Below are 21,696 nucleotides of genomic sequence, written 5' to 3'. Positions count from 1 at the left end.
GGAGTCAGAAGGGGGATGGAGTGAGAAGGTGATTTTTCCCTGGACACAGGCCACCCAGGGGCTGGACTCTTCTTCAACCGCCCCCAGCCAAACTCCCCTTGGTGTCCGAGTCGTTCTGCTGTTGTTGGTCTGCCGGTGTCTGCTGGTGTGTCCTGCTCCTCTTGATGTCCAGCCGCTTGTGTGTGTGCCCTCTAGAGCTCAGGCTTTTACGGGAACAGGATGGGAGTATGGCAGGCCAAAAGGCAACTTTTTGGGCACAAAAACAGAAATGCCTGTCTTCATTTAGGTCCATGGGCACAGGCCCGAGGGTGGAGCCCTCGCCGGGACCCCACCCTTCTCTACCTGGCACTTCCCTGCCCTCTTCCTGTATCAGTAAGAGATGGGTTGCACAAAAAAATATTTTCTTTATAAAGTGGGAGAAGGTGAGGTGGGTCTTGAGAGCCGGCATGTGCCTCCATCATCATCCCAATTTTTAAAAATGTATGAAGGATAATCTGGAGATTGATTCCTTAAAAACTGTCTGTGGATCTATCCCTTGGAAATTCCTTGTATATTTCTAGGGGTTCACATACCCTAGTTTGAAAACTGGTGTTTTAGAGCACTGGTTAAGAGAGCTTCTGCTTTATTTCCATTTTTATAATTGCTTTTATTTTTATAAAACCAGCCTTTGCTTATTTCAGAAATTTTCTCCTCAGTCTCATTCCTCACAGATAATCACTGTTATCAGCAATGGTATTTCCTGCTAGACTCTTTCTGGGCATTTCAGAACATGCTATCATCAACCTGTCCTGAGCTGTCACAAACTTTTCTACCCTTATAACAGCATGTAAGATGCATAACCCCTACAACTGACCCAATTTTGGCATCATTCCTAAAGCAGTCATGTTTTTAGGAGGGAGATATTTTTGACAAAGTGTTTTTCCCAAGAATTGTATTAAAAACAAACAGAAAACAAAAATGAACCCACAACCCAAAATCTGGGATGTAACAAATTTAGCTTTTGGATGGGATTATATTTAGATATATTTTTTTTTCATGGATCTGATTTCCTGACTGGCTTGGAGGTTGGGCATAGTCCTATGCAGGGATATTTTTCCTGGAGTTTCATGATAGTAAGGTACCTCTGGCAGTTCTGTGGCCATTGATAGAGCTTTTACACGGCAGTTGTTTTCTGTGTTAGTGTAAGCCATGTATGAAAAAGAGGATTAAAAAGATTAATTCCTGAATTCGAAAAGAATTTACTGATTGTTTACTACAGGGATCCATCCACAAATAAAGGAGTTGTGTTCCCTGCCCTTATAGAGCTTACAGCCTAAGAGATGGTGTGCAAGAAAAGATTGTTAATTAATTAAATATTATGAGGATGCTACTCGGTGGGATTTCTGCATTTGTTTTTGGGAATTTTTTGGTTTTTACTAACACACAATAATTGTACATATTTATGGGGTATAGTGTGATGTTTCGATACATGTATGCATTGTGTAAAAATCAAATCTGGGTATGGTAGCGTATCCACCACCTCATGCATTTATTATTTCCTTGTAGTAAAAATGCTCAAAATCTTTTCTTCCAGGTATTTTGAAATATACACTACTGTTAATCATAGTCACCCTACTGTGCAGTAGAACAGTGGTCCCCAACCTTTTTGGCACCAGGGACTGGTTTAATCAAACTTGATTTTTCCATGCACTGGGATGGGAGGATGGTTTGGGGAATGCCTGAAGCACATTACATTTATTGTGCACTTTATTTCTATTATTATTACATTGTACTGTATAATGAAATAATTATATAACTCACCATAAGGTAGAATCAGTGAGAGCCCTGAGCTTGTTTTCCAGCAACTAGCTGGTCCCATGTGGGAGTGATTGGAGACAGTGACAGATCATCAGGCATTAGATTCTCATAAGGAGCGTGCAACCTAGATCCCTCCCATGTGCAGTTTACAGGAGGCAGTGCTCAGGCAGTAATGCAAGCAATGGGGAGCAGCTGTAAATACAGATGAAGCACTTGTCTGCCACTTACCTTCTGCTGTGCAGCCCAGTTCCTAACAGGCCACAAACTGGTACCTGTTTATGGCTCGGAGGAGGTTGGGGACCCCTGCAATGGAACACCAGAATTTATTCCTCGTCTCTAACTGTAACTTTGTAGCCATTGACGAATCTCTTCCCCATCTCCTTCTCCCCTCTCCTATTCTTAGCTCTGGTTCCCACTGTTCTACTGTTATGGGTTCAGCATGGTTAGATTGCACATATGAGTCAGATCATGCAAGGTTTGTCTTTCTGTGCCTGGTTTATTTCATTTAACATAATGTCTTCCAGATTCGTCCATGTTGTCACCAATGACAGGATTTTACTTTTTTAAATGACCCGATAGTATGCCATTGTGTATATATACGATATTTTATTTACCCATTCATCCACTGATGGACACTTAGGTTGATTTCATATCTTGATTCTTCATGCTATTGCAGTAAACACTGCAGCTATTTTTTTTGGCATATGATTTTATTTCTTTTGGATACATACCAGGTAGTGAGATTGCTGGAACATGAGATAGTCTTCTATTTTTAATTTTTTGAGGAACCTCCATACTGGTTTCCATAATGGCTGTACTAGTTTGCATTCCCACTGACAGTGTATAACCACTCCATTTTCTCCACATCCATGCATTTGTTATTTTTTGTCTTTTTGATAATAGGCATTCTAACTGGAGTGAGGTGATGTCTCATTGTGGCTTTCATTTCCCTGATGATCAGTGATGTTGAGCATTTTTTCATATACCTGTTGGCCATTTGTATGTCATCTTTTGAGAAATGTCTATTTAGGTCTTTTGCCCATTTTTCAATGGATTATTTGCCTTTTTTACTATTGAGTTGAGTTTCTTATATATTCTGGATCTTACCCCTTATCAGATGTATGGTTTGCAAATATTTTCTCCCATTCTGCGGTCATCTCTTCACTCTGATTGTTTCCTTTGTTACATAGAAGCCCTTTTTAGATGTAATCCTATTTATCTATTTTTGCTTTTCTTGCCTGTGCTTTGGGGATCTTATATTTTGGAGGTTTTAACAATTGTTAGTCAGTATTCTTATAACAAGTTGTGTGTGCATGTGGGTGTTTGGCTGCTTAAGCAAATCTGAAAAATGTAGCAAATAAAGATTTGATTTTTTTTTTAACCTGAAAATAACCTTAGCAGTATAGGAAAAAAAGTACTAAGGATAGAAAATTTATAGATTTTTAGAAATATTTATCAAATGCAAAGGAATCAATTCTTGTACATGTATGCATATATGTGTGTGCACATATGTATGTGTGATATGTGGAAATATATATATATATTTGTATGTATACATATAAGGACTTACCTATGAATGTAAGATACTATGGCTTGAAAATCATCTGTCTGGTTAGATTTTGAAATATATAATCAGATTTATCAAAATTATGCTGGTATATATTTGAAAAATTAACTCCCTCATCTTTCTGTGTCCCAAATTCCACTGTTCAGTTGCAATTACTGCTCTCTTTTTATATATTATATATTAACACCATATTTCTAATCAATATATATACATTGCAATTTATTGATACATCAACTTTAGATTTTACTTATAACCTCTTGTTAATATATAGTGTTTCCTTTCTTGGATAGTTTTTCTGTTTCTAACTGCTTTATTTGCATGTGTAAATGTTTGTAGCTTATGCATTTTATGAAATTTCCTATTGTTCCCGAGATCATTTCCATTCTGGCTTTCTTTTCTATTCCGGCTTTCTCTTCTCTACTGGCTAGTTGAAAAACTGAGTCTGGGGCTTCCTTTCGCCACTCTTTTGAATTGGATTCCTTGATTCCTGGGCCCCATATCTCTCTCTAACTCTACCCTTTTATTTTGCTATAGCATATCCTCTGGTAAATTATTAAATAATTGTGTTAATGAAAATAAAAGTTTTGAGTACAGTACTTGGGTGACAGGTGCACTAAAATCTTAGACTTCACCACTATACAATTCATCCATGTAACCAAAAACCATTTGTACTCCAAAAGCTATTGAAATAAATAAAATATTCAAAACAAAAAAATAAACGTTTTTAGGCAGGATCTGATATATTTGCTAAGTCTCATGCTTTATTGATAGTTTTGTTGGGTGTGGAAATCTTTTTCAGACTTTTAAAAGCATGAGTCCATTGGTTTTTAGCATACAGTGTTACTTTTGATAAGTATAATAAAATTGTTTTATTTGTTTTTCCACATGTTAATATTTGTTTCCCTTGGCTTTTCAAAGCTCTCACAATTTTCTTTTTGTTATCCCAAAAAATTTGAATTCCATGAGGAAACACCTTGGTGTAGGTCTGCTCTTCATCCCGTGTTTCTGGGCACTAACTGAATTCAAGTCTTTCTGATCTTGGATATGTATTCTTTCTTTGGTGGTATCTTTACTCTGCTTTTTGTAGTTGTTCTTTATCTCTGAAATAGGATTCGGGGACATCTGGATTGTTTCTCTAAGTATTTTCTGTTTGCTTTCATAATTTTCATCTCTTTATCTTTGCTTTTGGAATTTTCTGAGTTTTTTTTTTAGGAAAAATTGATTTTAGCTATTAAAAAATTTAAGAATGCTTTTGTATTATTGTCTGATTGATTTTTTTATCATAGCATTTGTATTATCTGTACATATGTCTCTCTGAGAAGTATCATAGCAGAAAGGTTAACAGCATTGTTTGAGGATCCTTATTACCTGGATTTGATGTGTGGTATTTTTTTTTAAGAGTATTTGACGATGACCTTATGAAACTTTGTCTTGTTCCCTTACTGTCCCTATTATCAAAGACTTAATGAGATTATATATGTGTGTTTATGTGTGCAGGTGAGTGTATTCATTCTCTATTTGATCTCACATATATAAAACTCATGAGGAAGTACATATAAACTTTAGGTACCTGGCATATTGTAAGTGCTAATCATTATCTCTTTCTCCTTCTCTTTCTCTCCTTTTTGAGTAGTACTACTATTATTGGTATGTTTAGGTGCTTTTCTGTTCCTTGTCATTGTTTCTCCATTCTCTAGTTCTATCTTTTCTGTTTATTTATTTTGGTCTCTTTCATATTGGAGACTTTCTCCCAGCATTGTACCTTTTTTATGGAAGCATGGACTCTCTGAATATGGATGGGAATGGTGACTAATGGACTTATTTTTGAGTACACTGATGGTCAGCTTAGCCTCTTGCTGTCAGCCCCATGCATTGAAGCACCTATTGAGGTCCTTTAAAGTGAGGGGATACTGAATCTCTTCCCCTCGGTATCCACTTCTGCCTGTCTCAGTCAGTCACTCCTAATCCACCTGCTTTCCATCCTCCAAAAGGCTATTAAATGTCTGTCAACAGCTGATGTGTCCACTTCTGTACTTTGCTCTTCTGAGTTCAGATCTTATGTTTTCCTTTTCTTTGGTTTTAGTGGGGTCTTAGGAAAGAGAGAAGATACACACAGGCGGTTACTCTGCCATCTTTAATTAGAATTAGAAATTTAAAAATCAATTGAAATCTGGTACTGCTAAGTGCTATTAAAGAGAGATTCATGGTGCCACATGAGAGTAGCATTCTCATATTTTAATTCTGGACTTAGATACTTAATGACATATATAGTGTGTAAACAAAAATAGCATTTGTAAGAGAGTTTAACACCTAAAATATTGTTTAGGTTATGATAAAAAAAAATGCAGCTTATTGCTGGAGCCTATTTTACTTAGGGCTAAAATAGAACAAAATTTCCTAAGGGAAGATGTTAACAATACAAATATACTTTTTATATTTAAAATGTACAAGTAGAAACTTATCACCAATTTCTACATTATACATACAGAGATTTATTTAGTTTTGTTCACGAGATGGTCCTGCATACAAATTTAGTAGAAGAACAAATAAGAAATCTATCCAACTGTGGATGAAATGTTGCTGAAATCACAAATGCACATATTGAAAAGGACTTATAAGGACTAAAACAAGTCCTTTTGTTTATTTTTATCTTCTAACTCTCCATTTGGCTTTATTCTAAATATGATATATATAGTTTTTTTTAACAGTTCTTTGAAACTGAACCCAAGCAATTTCACTGCTCCTTCTGGCTTCTTTGTCTTTTGGTTAACCACACACTTGGCTGTCACTCTGCTTTTTCAGGGATGCTGGGAAAGGGGGATGATTAGGGTAGAGGGAGGATGTCAGTGAAGGGCAGTGTCAGTGCCCTGCTTGTCAACTGCCTCCAAATGGAGAGTTTTTTGCATTCTTTTCTGTGTCTTTGCAACTATGCTCTCTCAGAAGCAAGGTACTCATTGTGATGGACTGAGCATGGGGAGCCACTTCATTTGATTTCCTCTCCACTAGTGGCCCTGCTGAGTTTGAAACCTTTACAAGCACTAGGCAATAGTAAAACCAGAGCCAGACAAACAGGAACTGGAGTGCCCAGTACAGTCCATTGCAACAGGGATGAGAGTCATGATATTTCCCAGTGATCGAAAATGAATTAGGCTAAAAAGCCAATTTACTACATATATAAGCACACAGAGAGAGACTCTTCAGAAACACGAGTGATTTGTTTTGCTCAATTATTTTTCCACTGTGATACTCCCTAATACGAATCATTTCACCTTTTTTCAGCCTATGAAGTTATAATTACTAAGTGACAGTGTATTAGTCAGTGGGGGCTTCTACAAATACCACAGTCTGGACAGCTTAAACAAAATAAATTTATTTTGTTATAGTTCTAGAGGCTAGAAGTCTGACAACTTCAAGAAGTTGTTGATCTTGGACCTCTGGCAATTCAGTTTCTGGTGGGGGCTCTCTTCCTAGCTTGCAGACGGTTGTCTTTTTGCTATGTTTTCACATAGCCTCTTTCTCTGTGGGGGTATGGGGAAGAATGAGCTCTCTGATGTCTCTTCCCCTGAGGACACTTGTGCTATCAGATTAGGACCCCACCTTTATGACCTATTTAACCTTAATTACCCCACTAAAGCTCTATCTCCAAATACAATCCTACTGAGGGCTAGAGTTTCAACATATGAATTTGTAGGGGACAAATTCAGTACCGTTCATAACACAGTTTGATGGAATATTTACAAAATATAAGTGGATTAGGTTCACTAAGAAGTAAGTTGTATCTCAGTATAACATTTGAAAGTATATGTTATTTATTTAAATCAACTAACTCTTAGGGAGCTATTTCTAGTTCAGTGTATGCATACTTATGTGTGTGTGTGTGTGTGTGTGTGTAGTCTGTCATACATACTAAAGACCAAGGTTTACCTAATGATGAGATCCCCTCAGAGCATTTATTCCATGGTGTTTATCATCTTGAGATATTATGAACCTTCAAATCTATGATATTATTAGAAAAAAAGTGGTAAACAGATAGTAGACTTCTGATTAAGAAAACTGACAAAAGGAAAGTCCTTAGAAAAGGTAGTGTTTTGAGTAGTAAGGGAAGACAAATTTTAAGACTTATTAGAAGTGATGAGCTTGGGAGGTTTTTAGATATCTTAAAAAGTAAGGTAAGCGACTGAGGAATGTTGGTTAGAATATAGTATTTTTTTGTGTTGATTTTTGACCCATTGAATAACTTTTCTTGTAATATCTATTAGAATCGAACAATAATAGTTAATCTCACAAAGACAGAGTGTTCCAAGCAGATGATAAATTTTCCTTGAAATATATTAAAGTTAGGAAATACATTATATCTTTTTGGTGTAGGAAGAAGGCTCTGAGTGGAAAAGGGAAAGAGAGCTGGGATATAATTCTTAGACTGGATTTTGCTACATGGCTTTTCAGGGGAAATAATGTAATATAGTCTAATATATCATCCTCCATTTTACAATTGCCTTTTGCCACATGATCATGGATGTTCACAAAAGCATTCAAGAGCTTCACCAATTTTCCTAAAGGTCTCTCTTTAGGCCTTTGCTACTTAAATCACTCTCTTTTGAATATTTCAGTTGACTTTCTCATCTTCAATTGTTGACCTAAATCTGCCAAATTCTCAGTTAATAGCTATGAATGGTGTTCAAGCAGCTCTCAAACATCACTGTGTCTCAAAAAGAAAAAGGAAAAAAAGGAGTCTCGCTCTGTTGCCCAGGCAGGAGTGCAGTGGCATGATCTCAGCTCCCTGCAACCTCCACCTCCTGGGTTGAAGTGACTCTCATGCCTTAGCCACCTGAGTAGCTGGGATTTCAGGCATGTGCCACCACACCCGGCTAATTTTCATAATTTTAGCAGGGACGGGTTTTGCCATGTTGGCTAGGCTTGTCTTGAATCCCTGGCCTCAAGTGATCTGCCTGCCTCAGTCTCCCACAGTGCTGAGATTACAGGCGTGAGCCACTGTGCCCGGCCCCAACATCACTTTTATTGACTTCATGAGATTCTTCATCTTTTGTAATATTTGCATCATAGGATATTTTAGACAGTCACTGAGAGATAGACAGACTTAACAGGACAGCACCTGGTGTTGAGTGGGGACTAGTTTTATGTGGGCAAGGCATACTTTATTCTGATGAATTTAAGAAGTGCATAGCAAAAACCATACCCTGCAAATAGACCATCGGCTGTATCAAAAACTGGGGAGAGGAAGACTGTAAATGAGCCATCTATGCTCCTATAAAGCCTTTCCTTTGATGCTCTACCCATTTCCTTCTACCTATTCAGACATCTCTATGAGATTTTCCCCCATAGCATACACATATGTTGTAATTTCCCACATCTTAAAAATCCCGGCTAACATCTGTCTATCCTATTGGTGGCATTCTCATTTCTCTCCTTGCCTTGATAACACCATTTCTCAAATAGTCATTATAGTTATTGTCTACAATTTCTCAGTTCTGCTCTCTCTCCAACCCATTCCAATCAAGATTTACCTCCATTCTTCTGCTACATTTTTTTTTTTTTAAATTAAGGCCACCAATGGCTTTCCCAGCTCTTAACATAGAGGTAATCTTTTTCTTTATCCTCTAGCTACAGTTTTTCCCTCTGGGATTTTATCTAGTCTCATGGCTTTAATACTAGATACATACGCCAATAATGAGCAAATGTCTTTCCTAAAGCCAGATTTCTCTCTTGAACTCCAGACTTAAATATCTGGACTTCTCTCAGTTACCTGTCTATTTAAGACATGAAATTTAACAACCAAGCTCCTTGTTTTCTCTGGTTTATTTAAGGGACGACTCCATTCTTGTTCAAACCCGAAACTTTGGAGTTAGCCTCTTAACATCCAGAATCTCCACATCTAGAAGCCTCTACTTCCAGAATCCAACCTCTTCTTCCTACCTCCACTGCTACCACATTGGTCCAAGCCACCACCAGCTTTCCAGGGATTACTGTGGCAGGAGCTGGTGTCTCTGCTTCTTCCATCCTTGCCCCTCTTTAATCTGCTCTGATCACAGTAGAATCTTTTAAAATATATGTCACATTAAGTCATTATAAGCTCAAAATATCCAGTGGCTTCTCAGCCCACTTTGAGTAAAAGCCCAAGCCTCTATAATGATCCATGGGGCCCATGTAATCACCCACACACCTTTCATTATCTTTCTGGCATCATCTCCTTATTGTTTCTGCTCTGACACAGCTCTAGTCACAAGGGCATTTCCCCTCAGATTTTGCAAGGCTTTTATCTTTTCAACAGCTTTAATGTCTCACTCAGTACTCAAATGTTAGTTTCTTAGGCTCTTCCTATTTTAAATTGCACCTTTCTTGCTTTGTGTTTTTCCTGTCACTAAAATATGAAAGATCTTCAAGGAAGATGATTTTTTTTTTTGCTCATTTTTTTCAGTGTTATATTAGCATGTGCTTGTCAAAGAGTAAATATTTAGCAAATAATTATTGAATAAATATGTAATAAAAGCCAAAAGGCATTTATTCAGTATCTGCAGTGTTTCAAGTAGTTCACTGTGTTCTTTAAGCACTTTATTTAAACTTCATAATTGTCATGTACTACTTACACATGCGAAATGCAAGACTGAGAGGCTTAATCAAATTACCTAAGTCTGGAAGCTAGTATTCCAGCTCAGTTCTTTTGACTCTTAAGTTCAATACCCTGTCTTTTGTTACCAGCAGGTAACGATAAATCCACTTCCATCTTAGGAGAACAGTCAGATAATTCCATTTGGCATCTCTACTTTTTGAGACCACAGGGGTCTCTCTCTTCTACTGTCCTATCCTCACCACCTGGCAGAGGCCCTGGCACATAGTAAGGCCTCAGTGGATATTTGTCTTCACAACTAAACTACCAAGTTTGTCCATCAAATGGCTACTATCGTCTTCTACACTGCGATGTCTTCCTTGATTAAAAGCCAAGTTGGGATAGGGATAGGAGAAGAAAGTTGAGAATTACTAGAGAACTGCAACTAGGAATACTGGGCATGTTCGCCAAGGGAAGCCACTATCTGTGGCCTCATTTTCTGCTTTCATTTCATGAAATCTTGTATTTAGCCTTCTCTTTCCTCTATTCTGCTCCCGTGGAGAGATAGGCTGAAAATGCCATACAGAAAACCACACTCAAATCAAACAGATGCCTTCTAAGAAGATCAGTGGAGTGTGAGACTTCTCTTTGAGGGTGTATTTTCTAGTGCTGGGCAGGAGGAGGAAGGGGAAAAAGGATTTCAACAAAAGGAGAAGGATGCAAGGGAAATAATAGCATAAAGAAAGTCTCCCTAATCTGATGCTTTCTGTGTCTCTATTAGCTTTCAAGTAGTTTCAGCTGAAGAACTTCTATTGCAGATGTGGTTTTGTATTTTGTCCCTTTCACAATAGAAAAGCCCTGTCTGCACTGGGACAAATGGGTATTTTTTCTATTGTTTGAAACTTTTCTTAAAAGTATATTTAATAAGAAAAAAATGATATGTATTTAAGCTATTTATTCTTCAGATAAAGTTAATCCATCCTCTATAGCAGTCCTGAAGCAATCAATTTTTGTTGTAAGGATTATCATAACACTTTTAATGGTGTCTACATCAACTATTCTGGTGAATGAGGAAACAGGCATCTCACATGTTACAGCCCTGCCAGTATTTTAAGTCTTCTTTTTTGAACAGAAAATATGCAACCCGATTGCAATTTCAGAAGTGTGGAAAGGAATCGAGTAACAGTTTCAAGTTTCCCCACTTAAAAAATATGTCTCAAAGAGCACCAAGAACAGTCTCTGGCACATAGTATGCTGTACGTAAGAGTTGGTAAAATAAATAGAAATTAGTACCTACCCATCTACCCCCCATCTGCCCACCCAGACAAAGCCAGAAGGGAAGTAGCTTAGCCACTGAAAGGATTAACAGCATGAAGGGGACAGTGTTTTGTTTTTTGCTTTGTCCAGTTTCCCTCCTAGGAGCAGCCCCATTTCTGGATAACGCAGTCTTGCCTGCTCCAATTCACACTTCAAAACTTAAAGTAAACTCCATATGAGAAGTTTCATCTGCAACTTCTCACTTATTGCAGGGGCCTCATGTTATGTTCTCAATATTTAGCTTCAGTTTTCAAGATGGATCGCCACACCATTATGTTCCCCTGCTGTTTTAGAGGAAAAATTCATCTTTGTTTTAAGTGAATTTACTTGAAGTGGCCACTCTCTGGTACCAGGCTTATTGAACAAGGCATCCCCCCTGTACCTTTTTAGAGAAGTAAGTAAGTTTATAACAAGAGCTGCTAGTTTCTTGCATTTCAGCTTTCATTTTTCTCCCATCCTACAATACTGTATGTCATACATGGTTGTAAGACATCTGTGATGGTTACTTTTCTGTGTTATCTTGACTGGGCCATGAGGTACCCAGATACTTGGTAAAAATTATTCCCAGTGTATCTGGGAGGATGTTTCTGGATGAGATTAACATTTGAATCAATGGATTGAGTAAAACAGATGGCCCTTTCAAATGTAGGTGGGCCTCATCCAATCTGCTGAGGACCTGAATAGAATAAAAAGGCTGCTCTACCCCTGAGTAAGAGAGAATTCTTCCTGCCTGACTGCCTTTGAGCTGGGATATAAGTCTTTTCCTGCCTTCAGACCTGAACTGAAACACTGGCTTTTGCTGGGCCTTAAGACTGCTGACCTTCAGATGGGAATGACACCATTGGCTCTCCTGGTTCTCAGGCCTTTGGACTTGGACTGAAACTAGACAAATGGCTCTCCTGAGTCCCCATCTTGCAGACTGCAGATCTTAGGACTTGCCTACTACCATAATTGCATGGGACAATTCCTTAAAATACTTCTCTTTTTCTCCATGTATACATCCAGTTGGTCCTATTTCTCTGGAGAACCTTAACTAATACAATGTTATAACACGAGCTGCTGAAACAATTATAAGCAGCAATTTCTATGCGCCATTCACACTGGATCCTTATTTTCTGCCATCAGGCTTTGAGCACCTTTAAGTACCTGTTGCCGAGTACCTACCTCCTGTGCCAGGAAATTACAAAGAAATAAAAATATATCCTTATTCAAAGATCATAGTTGTATTTGTTCATTTTTATGCTGCTAATAAAGACATGGTAATTTATGAAGGAAACTAGGTAATTTATAAAGGAAAAGAGGTTTAATGGACTCACAGTTCCACAAGGCTGGGGAGGCCTCACAATCATGGCAGAAGGCGAAGGAGGAGCAAAGTCACGTCTTAACGTGGCAGCAGGCAAGAGTGTGTGCAGGGGAACTCCCCTTTATAAAACCATCAGATCTCATGAGACTTATTCACTATCACAAGAACAGCATGGGAAAGACATGTGCCCATGAGTCAATTACCTCCCATCAGGTCCCTCCCATGACACGTGGGAATCGTGGGAGCTTCGATTCAAGATGAGATTTGGGTGGGGACACAGTCAAACCACATCAGTTGTCCACTGTCACCAATACACAAATTTCTAAAAAGACTGTATGGAATCACACAAACACTGTCATCAAATTGAAAAAGATGTTGTCAGTGGGAAACTGAGCTATGTCCCATGACTTGCTGAGGTGGAGATGCCATTTTAGGCTCTACTTGGTAAAATACAAGCTATAAAGCAAGAGGGGAACCTTTCCTTCATCTTATGGTTTGAATCTCACCTCTTCTCAATCTCTAGTTATGAGGCCCTGGGTGAATTAGTTAATTTCTGTACATTTTCTTAAAGATAAAATCGGAGTAAAAAACAGTACCTACCCCATAGCATTTTTATAAGATTGCACAGGATATTTGTAACAAAAAAAAAATTCAAACAGTACCTAAAACCTATATTTTATCAAATCTAAGATGCCATCAGTTGTGAGATACAACACTATAATGTGTATTCCTAAGAAGGAAAAGCAGTGTCAATTATAATTGTAAGGTGCTATTAGTTATGTCACCTCCTGATGTGTTAGAAGGTGAAAAAAATATGTATCTTAAAATCAGTGAAATACAAGAGTTGGTGCTGTATAAATAATTAAAATTCTGGATCAGGCAACCTGATAATTCAGGGCACTGTGGCCCAGTTCTAAGTTTGAATGGAAAATAATCCATTTGTACTTGTGGATGGTTATATAGCAACAGAGTTCTAAGTAAATCATAGCATTACTGAACATCCAGATCATTTCTTGACTGCTCCAAGAAGTTGCTGACACATATATTTTTCATTTTCTTAGTGGGGTTTAAAGCTGCTTTCATTACAGACTCTCAAGGGTCATTTAGTAATCTAACCAAGGCATGATGGTTTGTTATGGACTGAATGTATCCTCTCAAAATTCATATGCTGAAGTCCTAACCCCAAATGTGATTATATTTGGAGAGAGGGCCTGTGAGGTGGTGATAAAGAGTAAATGAGGTCATTTAAGGGCATGGCCTTAATCTGACAGGACTGATGTCCTTATAAAAAGGGGAAGAGACACCAGAGTTTGTTCTGTCCTCCATGTGAGGACACAGCAAGAAGGTGACTGCAAGCCAGGAGGAGAGCGCTCACCAAGAATTGAACAGGCTGACATCTTAAGTTTGGACTCTGTCTCCAGAGCTGTGAGAAAATACCTTTCTGTTGTTTAAGCCACCCAGTCTATGTCTATGGTATTTTGTTATGGCAGCCCAAGCAGACTGAGACAATGACCAATGGGAGGACATTTCCTGAGAGGTAACTGTGAAAGGATCATCCTGGCCCCTGCTCATGGCTAGTCATTAGCTGTCAGGGAATGTTTGACTGAAAGTTGCTGATTTGCATTTGGAAACCAAAGACAGGATCTCCCCTCCAACCTTTCCCAGCCCTTACTTTTCTGCTCACTCAGTGCTAAAGTTTCATACTACTTTACTGACATTATAATTACTATTTATTTAATTTTACAATTGTATACAACTACCTATGGGAAATCAACGCTCTTGTTATGAACATTTAATTAGGTTTATCATTTAAATCACTTCTCCATATTCATGCTTTCTTAAGTAGTAGATTGAAAACTTTCTCTCTTGCTGGTAGTTTGATTCTCTGGGTACTGGTTCTGTCTGTGCATTTTACAAATGAAACTTCGCCTTAGCATTTGTTCTCACCAGTAATTGAATTTTCTTGCCATCGACGTTGAAGATGGCATGACAGGGATGGTCCAGAAAACATTCAGAATAATATCGAGGTTATTGTTTGGAAAGCCTGTCTTTATGGATCAAAAGTCTGAATCATGGAATATTTTTAAATTGGTTTTATTTTGAAACACATACACCAACAGAAACCAAGCAAAGCATTAACCAGTGGGAATCCTCAGGGAAACCTCTTTTAATGAGTAGATGAAATTGCTTACAATTCACACAACAATTTATATGTAAATGGATGTATCTGAAAATCATGAACACACTTGAGGGTACTTGAAAAAGTTGTCTTTCCTTAATAATTTCTGAACAGAACCTCTACAGTCTCGTTTATGTTATTTTTATCAGAGCAAAGGTAAGTCTCCCCAGCTGGGTATAGCCAGAGTTGGTGTATTAGTTATCCACTGCTGTGTAACAAATTACCCCAAATCTTGGAAACCTAAAACAATCAACAGACATTATTATCTCACACACAGCTTCTGCACACCAGCAATCTGGGAGTGGCTTAGCTGGGTGGTTCTGGCTCAGGATTTCCCATGAGAGTGTAGTTATGCTGTTGGCTGGGGCTGTAGGATCCACTTCCACACTTATCCATGTGACCAATGGCAGTAGACTGTAGCTCCTGGCTATGTAGTCCTCTGCATAGGGCTGCTCACAACATGGTTTCCCCAGGACAGATGATGAACATGTGAGTGAGCGTGCCATTGTCTTATCACCTAATCATGTACATGGCAAACCATCACTTCTGCTGTGGTATGCTGTTGTCACACAGACCAACTCTGGTTTAATGTGGGAGGGGCCTGCACAAGGAGTCTGTTTGCAAGTTTACTGACTCGGCTATTGTCAGGACACTTCAGTTTCTTACCACCTGGGCCTGGCTGTAGGGCTGCTCATGCCAGGGTTTCCCCTGAGTGAGTGATCTGAGGGCCTGGAGATGACAGCCACCTAATTTTGGACTTGACAAACCAGCACATCTGCTGCATGCTTTTGGTCATATAGACCAACCCTGGTGCCATGTGGGAAGGGGCTGCACAAACGTGTGAATACTTGGTGGTGGGGATGACAGGGGAGCATCTTAGAGGGTGGCAGCCACAGTTGACATGTGACCTAAGCCATGCCAGTCAGATGCACCCTTTCCTAGAACTGACACATGGAGCAGAATGGCAGGTTCAGAGTGGAATTACTCACTCAGGTCGAGCCATGAGAGTAGTTCCACTTATGGTTAGCTACATTCACTCTTTGTTCTACAAACTCCTGATCTTCCAGTAAAGTTTCTTTGCATTAAGTTAGCTCAAATCAGTTTCTGTTGTTCTAACAAAAGACTCCTGATAAATGGATTCCAATGTAAATTACCCTTAAGTACATGTGCAATACAGAAACTACTTTATCACAGGATGATGGAATTCAGGTGGTTGGTGATGGGAGATATAAATAGAGAGTTGTTGGGAGAGTAGCAAGAAACTGTGGTGCTAGATTGGAATCGGAGATGTCGATGTACCTGCGCACATACTTCCTTGACCTATTTGCTGAAAGGGCCTGAATCACTCCCTAGTTGTGATGAGTAAACCTACACATTGAGATTCGGGTTTCTAAGTCGGATGCCCCACAAAAAGTCATCAAGGATTCTTGAAGAAATTACGGGGGCAGGGAAAATACCAGGTAAGTCTGGAACATCTTGAGGGTCAGAAGGTTAGTAAGTTCTCAGAGAATGATGAGAATATGACACAGCTCCTCCTGCCTAGATCTGGGACAATTTGAAGGGTCTCCTCCTCCCCAGATATGGGACGATTTGAACATTAACATAGAATCAGTTTTACAACTATCATATTGATAATTGATTCAGGTGGAAATCATCAATGGGTACTAAAACTAGTAGGTGACAGTTTGATAAAGAATGGGATATATTCATAGTCTCACTAATATATCTCCCTCAAAATGCTTACTAATATAAAGGGAAAAATAATACCTTTACAATGGAGAAGCCTGACAGATACCATCCTAACCATTTAATTAAAGGTAGTAGCACTGATAATGGGATGAAAGGACATTGGGTGTTTCCTGATATGATGCACTGAGAATATAGAATCACTTCTGGGACAATCTGCTAAAAATGCATTGCTTGAATCTAATCAAGAGGAAGCATCACACAAATCCAAGCTGAGGGACATTCTGCAAAATAATTGGCATGTAACTCTTGAAAAATGTCAAGGTCAAGAAAGAAAGACTGAGGAGGAGTTTCTGAATAAAGGAGGCTAATGAAATGTGACAACAGAATGCAATGCATGCACCTTGGTTGGATTCTGATCAGGGGGAAAATAGCTATAAAAGGCATTATTGGGACATTGGCAAAATTTGAATATAGATTGTACATTACGTAGTAGCATTGTATCATGTCAGATTTTCTATCTTTAATCATTATGTAACCTTATGTCTTTGTTTTTAGAAAATACACAGTGAAGTAGTTAGGGGTAAAGGGGCATCATGTCTGAAATTTACTCTCAAATGGCTTAGAAAAACATGAGAGAGTGAATGATAAAGCAAATGGGGCCACATATTAACTGGTGAACCTGGGTGAAGTCTGTTACAACAGCAATTGCCAACTAATAACAAAGTACCACACATTTAGCCCCATGTTTCTGCAGGTCAGAAGTCTAGCACTGCCTGGCTGGATTCTCTGCTCAGCGTCTCACCATTGGGTTAAATTCAAGGTAGCAGCAGACTGCATTCCTTTATGGGGAGGCTCTGGGGAAGAATCAGCATCCAGGCTCACTCTGGTTATTGGCAGTTCTTGAGGTTGTAGGACTGAGATCTCCATTTCCTTGACATGTGGCCCCTCCATCTTCAAGCCAGCAATGGCACCTGGAGCTCTTCATCTGTCTGCTTTTCAGGGCTCATTTGAGCCCTGAATGGCCTGACCTGGATAATCCAGGCTACACTGCCTCTCTTAAAATCAACCAGTTGGCCAGTGACGGTGGCTCACACCTATAATCCCAGCACTTTGGGAGGCTGAGGCAGGCAGATCACTTGAGGTCAGGAGTTCGAGACCAGTTTGGCCAACATTGTGAAACCCTGTCTCTACTAAAAATATAAAAATTACCTGGGCATGGTGGCACACACCTGTAATCCCAGTTACTCGGGAGGCTGAGGCAGGAAAATCGCTTGAATCCAGGAGGTAGAGGTTGCAATGAGCTGAGATCGTGCCACTGCACTCCAATCTCAGTGACAGAGTGAGATTCTCTCTCAAAAAAAAAAAAAAAAAAACTCTATCAATCTCAGTCACATCTGCAAACTCTCTTTTATCATGTAATTAATGTGTCATAACCATGAGTGTGACCCCAGGGGTTGAGGATCCTGGAGGCCTCATTTCTGCCTACCACAGGTTCACAGAAGCTTTTTGCACTCTTCTCACCACCTTTATATAAATTTGAAATAATATGTTATCAAAATAAAATGTTACAAAGACTCATAAGCATAGCACAGGAAGTTGGAAAATGTCATCATAGCATCATTTTGGTTTTGGTGGTGTCATTTCCTTCTAACAGCACTGGGTTTGTTTTTCTCCCCCATTACCAACTAGGTCACCACCAAATCAAGCAAGGGACCTGTGAGGTGGTCGCCGTGCACAGGTGCTGCAATAAGAACCGCATAGAAGAGCGGTCACAAACGGTCAAGTGCTCTTGCTTCCCGGGACAGGTGGCGGGCACAACTCGGGCTCAACCTTCTTGTGTTGAAGGTAAGACCTCTCTGGTCAGCATCTCTGGTATTTCAAAAAGGCCAAAACCCACCAGGAATTTCCCTACTTTACTGTCTTTGCAACCCAAAGAAACCTAGGGTTGCTTTGAGATCAGTGTCAATCCAAAAATGTACATAAATACAACTCCAAAAATGTCTTGATGGTAAGATATGCCTTCAATAATGTCCCACAAGGGGTACCAATGGGGAGTTATATTATAGGGCAGTTGGGAAGATGTGCTTCAATTCCTTTTACCCACCTGTCTCCAAATCTCACTCACCAAAGCAATTGTTTCCTCTGATGCCCTGTTCTCCTTCCTCTTATGCTCTCTACTCAAAATTAGCAGCATGACTTTCTCACTTCATGCTTGGTGTTATATGTTAGTATCCTGTCTTTTATTTCTAGTTTATCATTTTAACAGACATTTATAGGACAGTCTCTTTGGAACAACTTCCCTGGGAATAGTTTGGAATCATGTATCGTTCATTTGTAATCTCCAAATCCCCTAGCAGAGTGCTGTGCCAATAGTTAAAAAATATATATGAATGTTGATGGTTGTAGGTGGAGGCCTGGGATTGATTTCTTTTGATACCCCTGGCTTCTTCCAGCAGACGCCGTGTTAGAAACAAGTGTCAGTCCCCAGGGGAACAAATACATGGGGTTAGTCCTGTAGCAGTTGCTCTGCAGTGTCACGAAACCTCCCTGAAAATGAACATTTCCTGTCTCATTTGATGCATGTCTAAAGGTCAGCAGTTAAAACACACACACATTCTTAACTCCAGATCATATTGCACAGTGAACAAGAACGGCTGATTTACCTGCATCCCATTCCCCCTACCAAACACACATATAGACATACACAACTATATGGGCTCTGTGGTTACAGTGGTATACATCAGCACCATCTGAGCCACCTTTAAAACAGGAAAGTGAAAGTGGAAATTTTCCACCTACAGTTCTTTATCAGAAACTTTGGGGGCCAAATGTGTTGCTGAATTCAGACTTTGCTCATATTTTATGTGGGTAACATAGTAAATATACCATCTATTACCTTACAGACCTACTGTACTCTCCACTTGCACCCCATAATCATAGAAATATTACTATATCTGCAGTGAAATGTATGAATATTCATGCAGCATGGGATAAGGCTGGATAAAGAACTTCATGTTAATTCAAGTCAGGTTTTGCTGTCATCTTACAGAAAACCTTTCAATTTCCAAAGCTTTTTGGATTTGGGGATTATTGATAAAGGATTGTCAACCTATTAAAAAAAGATGAAGATCTTTAACATTTAAAAAATGGCATTTAAAAGAAATATGCTGAGTCTGTATATCTCCAGCTGGGGAAGTCTAATGTATTTATCATCTCTATTAATTGAATCCAAATCACATCACAACCATTCTTTCTGCTGGCTGTCTCTCAAATCAGCCCACTTTTCTCCATCCCCACTGCTACGTCCACAGTCTAGGGGCCACCCTTAGATCTTGCTGAGTGTGCCACACCTCTCCTTCCGCTTTCAGTCCTCTACCCAGAATGATCTACACAAACAGAATGGATTATGTCACTCCCATACTGAAAACCACACTTTAGTGGCTTCCCACTCTCTTTAAGATAAACTCCAGGAGTTCTTTACCATGGCTTGCCGAGCCCTGCAAGATCTGTGTCTCAGTTCTCTTTCAAGTACTCTACCCTAGGCAATCCAGAGTTCTTCCCATTTCTTTTCATTTCTGCACATTACTAATTTATATCCCTTGCCTGAATCATTGCCCTCCTCCCCATGAGACACACCTGGTCTGCTTAATTCTTCTTATTCTCCTTTCAAATCTCTTGTAAGTTCTTGCAACACCCTGGATTTCCAGTTCATGACATTCATCCCATGTTATTGTAAAAACGTATGCCTTCCAGTTAGTATGTAAACAGCTTGTGGATGGGGATGTGGTCTCTTACTTTCATCTTTCCCCATTGGCTGGCCCACAAACAACTTTTAGTACAGTGGAGAATGGACTTTGCTAATCACAGATTGCTCTCTACAGACAATATGTTTGCTTGCCTCTGTAGGCCTTAAATGTCTTCTAACAAACTCTTTTTATATTGTCTAACCCAGAATAATGTTGTACAATATTCAAAGCACTTTTATTGGTACCTAAAAAGTACTGATAGGGCAGTGATGACTATTAGTATCTTTATCTTAGTAAAGAAAATGTGAATACCTTACCGCAAACTATCTTGTTTTAAATTGTATGTATGGGCAAATCCCCTTTGGCCACCACCCTAGAAGTAACTGCATTTATCTGTTTGGTCAATATATTTTTCTGTATATCTGTGTATTTGGAGATAGGTTTGTAGAAAACAGTGGTAGATTTCAATATGAGTGTGTGTTTTACACAAATGCTATCACATTGGATATTTCACGCATCCTGCTTTATTCCTATCAGTATTAGGTTGCAGAAATCTTTGTGTGCTGGTACATATTGATCTAACTGGGTGTTTTCAATTGCTCCATAGCATTCCATGTATGGATAGGCCATAATTATTTAGCCATTCGTCTTCCCTTTTAAAAATAATGATAGGGTCTTGCTCTGTCATCTAGGTTGGAGTGCAGTGGCATGATCATAACTCACTGCTGCCTTGAACTGCTGGGCTCAAGCAATCCTCCTACCTCTGCCTCCCAAAGTGTGGGGATTACAGGTGTGAGCCATTACACCTGGCCACCATTCCTTTATTGATGGACATTTTGATTGTGTTTATGGCAAAACAAACAGACTCTCAGGTTAACTAAATGGTTTCCCTAGTGTCACAGGATCAGTGATACGGACCAGTCCTGGAGCATCTGAGCAGAGTCTATGCAGTGCTGTCTACTAAAATGTTCTGTGATGATGCACATGTTCCCTCTCTATATATTTATGGACATAACCTGTGTAGATAGATATCTATATGTGATGATATATATGTCCAGTGTGGCTAGTAGCCATTAGCCACCCGTGGCTATGGAGCATTTGAAATGTGGCTAGTGTAAATTTAGATTTAATAGGGACTTGTGGCTTAAAGCTTCACATTGGAAAGTGCAGGTTATGCTTGATGTAAACATGTAACTTGAGTGTAACATTTGTGGTCAGAGAGTGCCAGTACCCTGAAAGGTGAGATTGTGTCTTTCAACTTGTGTCTCCTATACCTAACATTGTCTGGCAAACAGTCGGTGTTCAATAAATGTTTATTGGATCAAAGTCACTGAGAAGTGTAGGAAGTTTAAGCTTTGGTTGGGATGTATGTCTGATTTCATCTCTCTTTGATCTCTTCCTTATCTGAATATGTTTCCATTAGGGCTTTTTAGCTTTACCTGCTTAATCTTTATCCCATAATAATTATGCAGTATCATGCCCTAATTGGAATGTGAGAAGACCTATTCTCTGCTGATATGTTCCTCTTATCTG

The 21,696-nt window shown here is 39.1% G+C and overlaps 1 protein-coding gene across 4 annotated transcripts in view; it reads left to right on the top strand.

Moving 5' to 3' along the window:
• TAFA4 (TAFA chemokine like family member 4) overlaps positions 1–21,696 on the top strand; it is a 200,782-nt gene that overhangs the window by 161,423 nt on the left and 17,663 nt on the right. For all 4 annotated transcript variants that reach the window (XM_011533372.2, NM_001005527.3, XM_011533371.2 and 1 more), the window contains exon 4: positions 18,107–18,262. In XM_011533372.2, coding sequence (XP_011531674.1) covers positions 18,107–18,262 — 156 coding nt within the window. The remainder of the gene's footprint in view (positions 1–18,106; positions 18,263–21,696) is intronic.

Source organism: Homo sapiens, chromosome 3, assembly GCF_000001405.40.
Source record: "Homo sapiens chromosome 3, GRCh38.p14 Primary Assembly".
NCBI classification, from domain to species: Eukaryota; Metazoa; Chordata; class Mammalia; order Primates; family Hominidae; genus Homo; species Homo sapiens.
Note: the sequence above shows the minus strand (reverse complement) of the source record. Positions and strands in the feature narration are given on the sequence as shown.